The 13,384-nt window shown below is 35.7% G+C and overlaps 1 protein-coding gene across 1 annotated transcript in view; it reads left to right on the forward strand.

Moving 5' to 3' along the window:
* Positions 1-10,454, forward strand: part of RP2 (RP2 activator of ARL3 GTPase) — a 45,316-nt gene extending 34,862 nt beyond the window's left edge. Inside the window, exons 4-5 of the mRNA NM_006915.3 lie at positions 5,601-5,686; positions 7,782-10,454. Of these exons, the coding sequence (NP_008846.2) occupies positions 5,601-5,686; positions 7,782-7,865 (170 nt within the window). The 3' untranslated portion in view covers positions 7,866-10,454. The remainder of the gene's footprint in view (positions 1-5,600; positions 5,687-7,781) is intronic.

Below are 13,384 nucleotides of genomic sequence, written 5' to 3' on the forward strand. Positions count from 1 at the left end.
TTATATCTTCTTGGAGAATCCTTCATGGTTATGTGATGTCCCTCATTTTTTTAAGAGAGGGGTTCTTGCTCTGTCACCCAGTCTGGGGTACAGTGGTGCAGTCATAGCTCAACTGCAGCCTCGAACTCCTGGGGCTCAAGTAATCCTCCCACCTCAGCCTCCTCAGTAGCTGGGATTACAGGCACAAGCCACCATGTCCGACTCTGATGTCTTTCTTTATCTCTGATAATTTTCCTTGTTCTGAAATCTACTTCATCTCAAATTAATATAGCTACTCTAGCTTTCATTTGGTTAGTGTTTTATTGTAAAGATTTATCTTTTTTTCTTGTAGCTTATCAAGGCTGTATATTTAAAGTGAGTGTTCTGTAGACAGCATGTAGTTGGTTTTTGCTTTTCAATCCAGTCTCTTTTAACTGCTGTATTTAGACCATTCACATTGAAAGGGATTATTGATACAGTTGGATCAAAATCTTTCATTTTGCTAGCTGATTTGTTCCAGTTGTTCTTTTTTTCTTATTACCTCTTTTTCTTTTTAGCAGTTTTGTAATTCCACTTAATCTTGTCTATTGACATATTTATACCTCTTCTTCAAAAACTTATTTAATGGTTATGTTGGGTTTTACAGCAAATATTTTTAAATAATTTGAGTCTACCTTCTAATATTACACAACTTCACCTGTCATCTAAGGACCTGATAACATTATATTCTTAATTCTTCCTTCTCATCTCTGTGTCATTATTGTCATATATTACTGTTGTATATGCTATAAACACCTAATACGTTGTTAATGTTATTGCTTTGAACTGTCTGGTGTTTTTTTGTTTGTTTGTTTGTTTGTGTGTTTGTTTTTGAGACAGGATCTCACTTTGATGCCCAGGCTGGAGCGCAGTGGCTTGATCTCGGCTCACTGCAGCTTCGACCTCCAGAGCTCAGGTGATTCTTCTACCTCAGTCTCCCGAATAGCTTGGACTACAGACATGGGCTACTACGCCTGGCTAATTTTTGTATTTTTTTGTAGAGATGGGGCTTTGCCATGTTGCCTAGGCTGGTCTTGAACTCCTGGGCTAAAGCGATCTGCCTGCCTCAGCCTCCCAAACTGCTAGGAATACAGGAGTGAGCCACTGTGCCTGGCCTGAACCGTCACTTATTTTTAGAGCAATTAAAAATAAAAATATAGATCATACTTTATAGGCAGTTTTAGAGCAGAGGAATGTCATGGTCCTTTTAAAGTGTAAATCCTGTCACTGGTCGCTTTAATGGGGAAGCAGAAAGACCAGCTAGGAGGCTGTTGCAGTAATCTAATTGAGACATAGTGGCTTGTTCCAAGGTCATGTTAGATCTCAGAAGGGTTCACTAGATAAGACATCCAGAAATCTTTTTTGTCTGCTTCAGAGTCTCACAATTTTTCATGACAGCTGAAATATTTAGATCTAAAGCTACCATGAACTCTCTGAATAAGATGTTCATATTAAAACACTAAAAACATGACCAGTAATCCTTGTTGACCTCATAGTTCAGTTAGAAATAATCACAGTAATTGGCATCATCATTAGATAGAGGGACAAATAGTAGTGTTTAACAAGTGTGTTGTCAACATTGTAGTTTTTAAAAAATTTAGTAGTGCTTAGCAAGTGCATTGTCAACACTGTAGTTTTTTTAAGGGTTTTTGTTTGTTTAATACATATGAAAAGAATGCATAAACAAAGAATTGAGACATGAGAAAGCATTGGTTCAACACTAATGAATCTAAAGAATTAGGATTTGGGAAGGTGGAAAAGATTACCTAAACATTTTCAAAAATTGGAAACTGCAACCAAAATAAGCTGATAAAAATCCCTATTAACACTTATGAAGAGTCTTCAGACTCTTCCCATGATTTTTATTAAACTAGAGAGCCTCACCTGGCTGCTATAGGAGTCTTCATATGCAGAACAGAAATAAGGAGACTCCCCTGACGGTTCCCCATGTTGCTAAGTGTTTTCCCCACCCCCACCTGACCCTGAGCTTCTTAATGAAGCAGGCCTCCATCCTCCTAATTTGAGAGGATGTGAATCATTCCACAGATGTCTGTCTTCTAGCACCACCCCTCATATTTCCTCTACATACCAGGTCTTCAGCTGCGTTCTAGGAACACCATAAACTACTGAGTTGCAAATCTATGTCAAGCATATAAGACAAACATTGTAGTCTTTTTAAATTTAAGATTATCCACACATGTTAAAACAAATGCATTTGTCCACTTTTTTGTTGGAAAATTATTAGGTCATTTATTGGAAGTTTATCATATTCTAGTCAATATCAATCAAGTTATATACCTGAGTAATTCTACCAAGATTGTATTTCTGAATTCTAGATTACATGTTCTTTATAGAAAGACTGGAACTTTTAATAATAAATGTCTAACTTAAATACACACACACACTATATTTCCTTGTAGTGATGAAACTATATTCTACCTTAATTCAAACTTTCTACCTTGCAAAACTGGAAACCCTACATTTATTATCAACCTTTTCTTTTTAGTTCAGTATTTATTAGGTTTAAAGTACTTTTTAAACTCATTTTGCAAATTTCCAAATGTACTAAATGTAGAGAGTACAATGACCCCCATGTGTACCCATCACCCAGTTTCATCAACTTCTTGCCATACTTAAAAAAAAAACTCATTGTTTGCTAAAACATTTTAATCAAATTGATTCATCCTGTCATTTCATCCCTAAATATTTCATTATCTTAAAACAAAATTAAAAATGTTTTCTTAACTACAGTGCATTATCACATTTAACAGAATTAACAATAATTCCTTAGTATCCTCTAATATTCAGTCTATATGCAGATTTACCTACTTACTAAAATAATTCTTTGTGTTTTTACAGTTAATTTGATCCAGATCTAAAATAGACCCACTTACTGTATTTGGTTTTTTTTTTTTAATCTTCTATCGCTCTTAAATCAAAAACAGGTGTTCCCCCTCTACTACTTTTTTCTTGCCTTTGTCTTGGGAAAGAAGCTTGGTCAATTATGTTATAGTATTTATGAGGTTGTTTAATTCGTTCCTCCATATTTCTTGCAGACTAGAAGTTAGATCAAAGCCTTGTTTACGTTCAGGTTTAGTTATTTTTTTACTTTTATTTTTTAATTTTTTTTGGCAGGAATACATAGATGGTACTGTTTCCTGTTGCATTAATTGAGAAGGCACATAATGTTTGATTGTTGTACTTTTAGGGATACTAAGATTTAATGGTTGGGTTTACACGGTGACGACCTTCTCTTTTTATTGTAGAGTTTCCTGCAGTCTTCTCTGTGGGATGCTAAAACCATTGATGATTGTTGCCTGAACCAATTGTTTTAATAGGCGTTGCAAAATGACTGTTTTCTGTATTTTCTTTCTTTTTTTTTTTTTTTAGCAAACTTACTTTTTAATCTTGTCACTACCTCTGCATTTATTAACAGATGTTAACAGAACTCCTCGTATGCCAGAGCTGTTTGGTTAACTTGAAATATGCTTCATGTCAGAAAAGCAGAATAAATAAAGAGAAAAATAAGCATCAATTTTCAGAGTAGTGAATTGGTGCCCTAGCAACCTCCATTGGTATACAGTGAATTTTGTTTCTCTCTTCTTTTTTTATTTTCCTTAAAAATATCTGGTAGTAAGGAGGATCTCTCTAAGTATCATTATGAACTCATGACTTTTTATATATTAATTTTAATAAATCAGAGTCATTATTCCTTCTGTTTCACTATGTCTCATCTTTGGCCATTGGGAGCCCCTTCAGGCTGGCTTCTGTCTCCTTTTGATAGAACCCCACTGGCCTTTGATAGCTTCATTACTTTTTGGCTGAAGAAAATATTCCACATTGACCTTAATCCATTTCTTGCCCCAGACATGGAATCATCTATTTTTCTAAGATTACTTAGTTATTTTTAGTGGGGAATGATATTTAGAAATACATGTTAGGTGCTATGTATTACTGGGTTGTCATTTCTTTTAAGCTTTTTCAGTGGACATAGCTAGAAACTATGTATTTTTAAAAAGGAAAAGATCATGAGTTTACATTGATATTTCTAAATAAAAATTTAAGATTTTAAGCTTTTCTTTTGTAAGGTTAGATGTTTTATTACAATATGTTCTTGAACTCCTGGCCAGGGCTGAAGGCAAGAGGATTGCTTGAGGCCAAGAGTTTGAGACCAGACTGAGCAACATAGTGAGACCCCATATCTATTTTTTTTTTGAGACATGGTCTCGCTCTGTTGTCCAGGCTAGAGTGCAGTGGCTTGATCATGGCTTGCTATAACCTCAAACTCCTGGGGTCAAGTGATCTTTCCATCTCAGTCCCTCGAGTAGCTGGGACTACAGGCCTGTGACCCTGCACCCAGCTAATTTTTTAATTTTTTGTAGAGACGGGGTCTTGCTTTGTTGCCTAGGCTGGTCTTCAACTCCAGGGCTTGTGATCCTCCTGCCTAGGCCTCCCAAAATTCTACGATTACAAGCATGAACCACTGTGCCCAGCCGTGAGATTCTATCTCTAAAAGAAATTTTAATACATTTTTAATAAAGTATACAGGAGGATGTGCATAAGTTATATGCAAATACTATACCATTTTATTAATATATAAGGGATTTGAGCAACAAATGGAACCAATCCTTGCAGATACCTAGGGACCACTATATCCTGCCTTTTCTGTATTTGTTGCCTGTATTATATCACAAGCCTCCAAGAAAAAAAAAATCACAAGCCTTCAGTTATCTTGATGCCCAATGTAGTGTAACCTTTTCTTTCTCATTCTTGTACCTTGTACTGCAGCACACGGTTACATTCAATTTAGTGTTTCATATTCATTCACTCTAGTATTTCATTACTTCGTACTTCATTATTCTGTGTTGGTTTGTATTTGTTTAATGGGTTTATGTCTTCTTTCAATACATTTGTAATTTCCTGGAGATCAAGACTTTTCCATCACTGTAGGAGGTTTTTAATGTTTTCAAATTAATGTATGAGAAAGGAGGCACAGATATTCTATTAAAAGGATTAAAAAATAAAAACTTTGTCTATGTTTCTAGAATGTAGCTTTAAGACACACTCAAGGAAAATACTTTCAGATGGTCATCACTTTTGGTGCCTGGCCTCAATTCTTATTTGGCTTAGCTTCATTATTGGTGGCCTAGAACTTGGCTGGTAAGTAGGAGAGTTGGAAGCAAGGCTGGCTGCCTGGCAAAACCTACTTATGTTGACTTGGATTGCTTTTGATCTTATTTGCTATTTTATCAACTATTTTTATACTCCTAAATGAGTAGAATTTCTGTGGTTTTTATAGAAGAATGAGAACCAGAAAAGCCAGACTATTTACAACACTTTAAAAATGTGACACTAGTCCTATAATAGTACTGAAGCTACTTGTTATGAGACTGTGTTAATTTGTTTTATGATTAGCGTAGGAAGAAGCAGCTGAGGTGATATGTCCCATCTGTCTGCTTTCCTCTTCCTTCTCTTTCACCCTCAAAGAAGATGCTGGAGATTCTTCAGGGAAGAATAAAAAGATTAAATTTAGAATATATTTGTATTTGTGTTAAGAAAATGTTTCTTGGGTTTGCTTATAGGTCCTGTTATTGCCTTGGAGTTTAATGGGGATGGTGCTGTAGAAGTATGTCAACTTATTGTAAACGAGATATTCAATGGGACCAAGGTACAAGATTTTATTGACTGTATTTCAATCTAACTTTTCATTTCATCTCCTTTTCCTTACAGTCAAATAATACTTTAATACTTTTGTCCCTAATGTTGCTTGGAATTTTTGGGGTGTGTGTGTGTGTGTGTGTGTGTGTGTGTTTAAAGCAGATCATGATTTTTAGAACCTTTGATAAATAATTGGGAACTAAGCTGTGATTTTTTTCTTGCCAAACTAAACTTTAATTGTTTAAAATAATTACAAAATAAGAATCTATTTATTAAAAACCTTCTATAGTATATGTTTCTAAAGTAAAAAGTCTCATCAAATGTCTTTTCAAGTCTTTGCATTTTTAAAAATACTGATTTGTTGAAAATATTTTATTTCTAAGATTATAGTCTTTAGATGGACGATTCTGTTGCCCAGGGTTCATTTTTACGCCCAGGGTTCATTTTTACTTGCTTCAGTAATGCTTCACCAAAAATTGAACTTCAGATATACATAGAAATCATCACATGTAGGCCGGGCGCGGTGGCTCACGCCTGTAATCCCAGCACTTTGGGAGGCCGAGGTGGGCGGATCACGAGGTCAGGAGATCGAGACCATCCCGGCTAAAACGGTGAAACCCCGTCTCTACTAAAAATACAAAAAAAAATTAGCCGGGCGTAGTGGCGGGCGCCTGTAGTCCCAGCTGCTTGGGAGGCTGAGGCAGGAGAATGGCGTGAACCCGGGAGGCGGAGCTTGCAGTGAGCCGAGATCCCGCCACTGCACTCCAGCCTGGGCGACAGAGCGAGACTCTGTCTCAAAAAAAAAAAAAAAAGAAATCATCACATGTAGGCATTTTCTAAATATATTGATGAAGTTGCTGTATCTAAGAATTGCAGACATAAATAAATTTAAAACCAAACATAGAGGATTACATTAGCAAATCTATAATTGACTACTTTTTGATAAATACCTGGGAGGACATTTTGGTTTTATCATCTGATTTGGCTTATGATTCCTTGAATTTACAAAAATTAAAGTACTTTGTCTTTGATCTCATTTTATCATCACAGTAGTACTAAGGGAGAGGGAAAATACCAGGTTGAATAGAAAAGGAAACTGAGAGATAAAATGGTTAGAATTTGGACTTTTAGAGCTGAATGATTTAGAGATTATCTAATCCAGCTTTCTCATTTTACAGGTGTAGTTACTGAGCCCACAGAGGTTTATTAAATTGTCAGCATCATATGCTAGTTTACGATAAAGCTAGAATAGAACCCACATCTGCTCTAATTCCTTGCTGACATTTGTAAAAGCTACTTTAGAAGGGTTCTATTGAGTATTGCTTCATTGATGTTTAGCAGATAGTTTATTTAAAAATAACAGGCTGGGTGTGGTGGCTCACACCTGTAATCCCAGCACTTTGGGAGGCTGAAGCGGGAAGACTGCTTGAGCCCAGGAGTTCAAGACCAGTCTGGGCAACATAGTGAGACTCTACAAAAAGTAAAAAAAAAAAAAAAAAAAAAAAAAAAACTAGCTAGGCATGGTGGTACACACCATTAGTACCAGCTACTTGGGGGGCTGAGGCAGGAGAATCACTTGAGTCCAGAAGTCTAGGCTGCAGTGAGCCATGATTGCACCACTGCACTCCAGCCTGGGCAACAGAGCAAGACTCTGTCTCAAAAATAAATAAAATAAAATAAAAAATAATAATATATCTTTAGCAGCTTTGAAAGGGATAATCTCAAGTTTTGCTGCTCAGACTACTGAGATTATTATTAGAAAATAGAAGAAACAAAGAGTTTTTTAAGTGACTCTTATTCAGTAGCTTCCGTAATATTGAGTGTTGTAAAAGTCCAGATGTAATAAAATACAACTCAAGTATTATGAAAGCAGAGACCTTAATTATATAAGTGCTTCCAAAAGAGCTTAATTTACATTATAGCTATTCAAAGTGTATTACATGAATTCTAAAGAAAATCTACAGATTAAATATTGTCATTATAAATGATGTACTTGAACTTCTTTTGAATAATTAGCTTGGAACTTTGTTCTGTGGAGAACATGGGCTTTGGCATTCTGAAGTACTTGGTACTGATTTTTTTTTTTAATTTTCTATTTAAAATAGATGTTTGTATCTGAAAGCAAGGAGACGGCATCTGGAGATGTAGACAGCTTCTACAACTTTGCTGATATACAGATGGGAATATGAAGTGCAATGTGGAACCAGGACTTGGTATTAAGCCTTTCCCAACTTGTGAATATAGAATTTGATAATACACTTTTGTGTATTAGCAATGGTTTTTACTAATGCTAAAACTTTTAAAGTTTATTTTTTAATAAATTGTTGAGTATTACATCATTTACTTGAGGTTCAAAAATAATTCATTTTAAATTAAGTAGTTTTAATCAGCTTAAAAGCTATTTAACCCATTTTAATAAGCTTGCAGTTTTGTTTCTCTGCATATGATATTCTTATTAGAAAACAGAAGTAGCTAAAAGTTTATTATTTTAATCCTATTTAAATGTTCTTTCAAATCTCTAATAATTTAAACTTTCCTCAGTGCTCCATGATACTTTTTTTGAGACTCCATATCATTGCTTATTTTACCTTTTTCAATTTAGAGGGATTTGTTACTAGTCGATCAATTAGAATGAACCTATGCACATTTTTATGTACACATATCCAGTTATATAATTGCTTCCTAGTTGCATTATATGGCAAATGAGATTTTGTACATGGAGTTGACATAATACTTTGTAAATTGAATTTTTTAAAGAAATAGGCATTTGATAACCAGCTTGGCAAGTAACTCTACTAACAGATGTTGGTATAGCTATTTAAAGACTACTTCGTAAGTAGTATGATTATTTGAATAAATTACACATTGTTTAGTTTTTTAATACAACTGCTATATGACTCTTCTGCTTCCTGATAAGAAAAGGTATATGCAATGCTAAAACTGTAGAAGCCCAATCACCAGCAGTTTTTAAAAAGGTGATAACTTTTATTAGCTCTTGTGGGCTATCAAGAGAATTGGAACAAAACCTTGTGACTTTTAGGTAAGAAATAGGCATGATGATAAGCTATGCAGATTATTAAAAAGCTTGATACATTTGATTTTTCATTAGATATGCCATTCATATCAAGTAATGTTCAAGTATGATAAAATTATTTTGGTTGCTTTAAAGCACTGTTTCCCAAATCTACCTGATCATAATAATTTACCAGGAAGCAGAGGAGAGCTACTTGTTTAAAAATCCACATTCTTGGACCCAATCCTCAGATGCACGGATTCAGTCTTCAGGGGAAACTCTGTTTTAAGGGGTATGTTGTAATCTAAAGTAATTGGTTCAGGAGGTGTCAATAGGTTGAACTTGTGAGAAGGCACTGAATCTGCCATCCACATCACATATAGCAGCTATTATGAAATCAGCTTTCATAGGCCTATTTTTAAAAGGAATCTGAAATTTAATTCTATTTTGATAAAACTAAGACTGAAAATAACCACTTGTAAACATTCCTATGATTGTTACTAAAATGTATTTTCATGTTTAAAATGTTTTTGGATATTTTTGGGTTAATAACTACTACATTGAATTGCATGTTAAGGTGCAGAAATAATACATTAAAAGATTTTCACTTTAAATTAATTAGTAATATTGAGCGCTCACCCTGTGCGTGGCCTTGTGCTAACCATTAGCACTGCATCATTTCAATTCTTTTATAAGGGCATTCAATACTACAAAATCAACATGATTTCATAAGGTGCAAATAAAAGTTGGTGACAGATTTAATATAATTTTGATCACAATTTACAAATGATCTTTGCAAATAGTGGTCAGACGGCATTAGTTTTTCCCTTAGTTAAGCTAAATTAAAGGGACTCCATCCTGTTATGATTATATTATTATTATTATTATTATTATTTTTGAGGTGGAGTTTCACTCTTGTTGCCCAAGCTGGAGTGCAATGGCGCGATCTCGGCTCACCACAACATCCGCCTCCTGGGTTCAAGCGATTCTCCTGCCTCAGCCTCCTGAGTAGCTGGGAATACAGGCATGCGCCACTACACCTGGCTAATTTTTGTATTTTTAGTTGAGATGGGGTTTTTCCACGTTGGTCAGGCTGGTCTCGAACTCCTGACCTCAGGTGATCCGTCCACCTCAGCCTCCCAAAGAGCTGGGATTACAGGTGTGAGCTACCGCGCCTGGCCATGATGATATTATTAAACACCATTATTCACATTTCAAATAATAACAATACTTTTTGTTTTTCAAAAATAAAATGCAATGTTATATAAAGCTATAAACTAAGTTCTTTATGATATTTGAGCAACAACTCAGGAATATAACATATAAGGGAGATGTTAATTTAAAAATTTCCACTACACTTATTATCTATTAACCAAAGCTTAAAATTTTGTATTCTTCTGTTAGATAAGACCTTTTACCCATTTAATTTGTCTTTAAGGACAGTCATTTGGCTTCTGAATGTTTGAAACGATTTTAAAAAATAAGTAGTGCTATGGTTGTTTCTATAATTCTAACCTTTGATAGTAATCAGAATGTATTACATTTCATTTCTGAATAGCTTTTGAATTTATGAAAAATTATTAACAATGAAAAATTGGTAATTTTATTAAGTTATATGTGTTTAAATATTATATTAGCTTATTTCTCTTGCATTAATAGTACTGCTGTTTTTGTTTTGCTTCTTTATATTTATGTCTAGCTTTTATATGTAATTTATCTAGTGTTTATAAAATGTGATTTGTAATAAATGTTGTTAAAATGAAAATGGCTGCAATGGTTTGTATATGGTCTGTTTGTCCCCACCAAAGCTCATGTTGAAATTTGATCCCCAGTGTGGCAGTGTTGGGAGATGGGGCCTAGTGGGAGGTGTTTGAATTATGCAGCCCAATCCCTCCTGAATGGCTTGGTCCTGTCTCTAGAGAGACTGGATTAGCTCCGTGAGAGTGAGTTGCTATAAAGCAGGGTAAGGGTTTCCTTCTCTTTGCTAATGTCCACTTCCCCATTAACCTTCTCCACAATGTTGTGATGTAGCACAAAAGCCTTCACCAGAAGCCAGAGCCATGCCCTTGAACCTCTCAGCCTACAGAACCCCTTTTCTTTATAAAGTACCTCTTTTCTTTATAAAGAACCTCTTTAAGAGAGCCTACAGAACCTCTTTTTCTTTTTTCTTTATTTTTTTGAGACGGAGTCTCCTTCTGTCGTCCAGGCTGGAGTGCAGTGGCGTGATCTCAGCTCACTGCAACCTCCACCTCCCAGGTTCAAACAATTCTTCCTCAGCCTCCTGAGTAGCTGAGATTACAGGCACATGCCACCACGCCCAGCTAATTTTTGAATTTTTAATAGAGATGATGGGGTTTCGCCATGTTGGCTAGACTGGTCTCGAACTCCTGACCTCCAGTGATCCACCCGCCTTGGCCTCCCAAAGTGCTGGGATTACAGGCGTGAGCCACCTCGCCCGGCCCAGAAACTCTTTTCTTTATAAATTACCCAGTCTCAGACATTCTTTTATAGTAACCTGAAATGGACTGATAAAATGACTTACCACTAAGAGCACTCTATAACATGCATTTACTCATACATGTGCCAAAACTTGACGTAATTTTTTAAATATTAAATGTAAAATGCTCTAATCTACATCTTAAGTTAATGAGATATGAGCTGTGAGCTGTGTGTGTGTGTGTCTGTGTGTGTGTGTAAGACGCTGGAGCAATGCAAAGGAAGTAGAAAACCTATTTTAATCTAAGGAATTTCCAATATAATGCTTCCTTTGCTAAAAGGAATTTTATTTTGAATGTTATTATGAATGGATAGTAAGATTAGGTATCTTTCTCTTCCATATTTAACAAAAATAGTGATACACTTTCAGGTTTATACAAATGGACCTTATTTTAAAATTACAAATTTTCCAGTCTTTTGTACCCAACTTCTCCCTCTCCTAGCCCATAAATCAGAAGGACTGAAACAACTGCAGATTGATTAGTTTTTAAAATAACATTTATTATTTTTATAAAGGTTCTGCATGTACATTTGCAGCATTTGGAGCACTGAGAAAAAACATGCACAAGACAATAACAAAAATTATTTTTTATTGGATAATTTTTTTTTAGTAGTGACAGCCTGGATTATTGGATAATTTTTTTTTTTTCTGAGATGGAGTTTCACTCTTGTTGCCCAGGCTGGAGTGCAATGGCACAATCTTGGCTCACTGCAACCTCCGCCTCTTGGGTTCAAGTGATTCTCCTGCCTCAGCCTCCCGAGTAGCTGGGATTACAGACGCGTGACACCATGCCCAGCTAACTTTTGTATTTTTAGTAGAGACAGGGTTTCACCATGTTGGCTAGGCTGGTGTCAAACTCCTGACCTGAGGTGATCTGCCCACCTAGGCCTCCGAAAGTGCTGGGATTACAGGCATGAGCCACTGCGCCCAGCCAGATTATTGGATAATTCTTGATGTTTAAAATTTGTTTTTCTCATTTAAAAGGAACATACTTAGCTGTTTGTTGTTGTTTTGGAGACGGAGTTTTGCTATGGAGTGCAGTGATGCAGTCTCGGCTCACTGCAACCTCTGCCTCCTCAGTTCAAGTGATTGTCCTGGCTCAGCCTCCCGAGTAGCCAGGATTACAGGTGCGCACCACCATGCCTGGCTAATCCAGCTATTTTTTGTATTTTTAGTAGAGATGGGGTTTTACCATATTGGCCAAGCTGGTCTCAAACTCCTCACCTCAAGTGATCTGACTGCCTTGGCCTCCCAAAGTGCTGGGATTACAGGCATGAGCCACCGCACCTAGCCATACTTAACCATTCTCTATACAAAGAGAAAGTATTGTAATTAGGATATGATCACTTCTTCGAAACTCATTCTAGAAAATATTTTATCCTTTAAAACTACAACACGAAGAAAGCTAAACTTCATTTGAATTTTCATAATAGACATCTTTTTTGTGAAAATGGAGTCATTCACTGTTGACTTCTTTTTTTGTAGATGGGGTGGGGTAATAAGCCTTTAAAATACTTCACCTCTTTCCTTATATGTTTTGGTTCTTAGTGGCAAACTCCAGCAAGATGTTCAGAAATGGCAATTTCTTCCTTTTCTAGTGTTTTAGTGCTCTCCTGGTGAGGGCTGTTTCTCACCTATAAAAACTGTGAGCATAAGTCATACACAGCCCCACCATTCTCACCTTGGCTTGGATCCTCCCTCTGGGGCCTGCCTTTACTCTTTCAGTTTTATCTGGTCCACTCCTAATTGGACTAATGAAAATTAACTTGCAAATTGTGTGACAAGTAATTAACTGATGTTTGTAAAGTGCCTTGAAAATGAAAGGTACTTTATAAATATTAAGCATTATTGTGCTGAGCAAAATGAGTACAGTAGGACTCCCCACTTATCTGCGTTTCACTTTCTGTGGTTTCAGTTACCCGTGGTCAACCAACAGTCCCAAAATACCTGAGTACAGAACAATAAGATATTTTGAGAGACATCACCTTCACATAACTTTTATTACAGTATATTGTTATAATTGTTCTGTTTTATTAATCTCTTACTGTGCTTAATTTATAAATTAAATGTTATATGTATATACGTATGTATATATAGGAAAAATCATAGTTTATATAGGGTCTGGTACTATCCATGGTTTCTGGCATCCGCTAGGGGTCTTGGAATGTATCGCTGCAAATAAAGAAAGACTTCTATAT

This window comes from Homo sapiens, chromosome X, assembly GCF_000001405.40.
Source record: "Homo sapiens chromosome X, GRCh38.p14 Primary Assembly".
NCBI classification, from domain to species: Eukaryota; Metazoa; Chordata; class Mammalia; order Primates; family Hominidae; genus Homo; species Homo sapiens.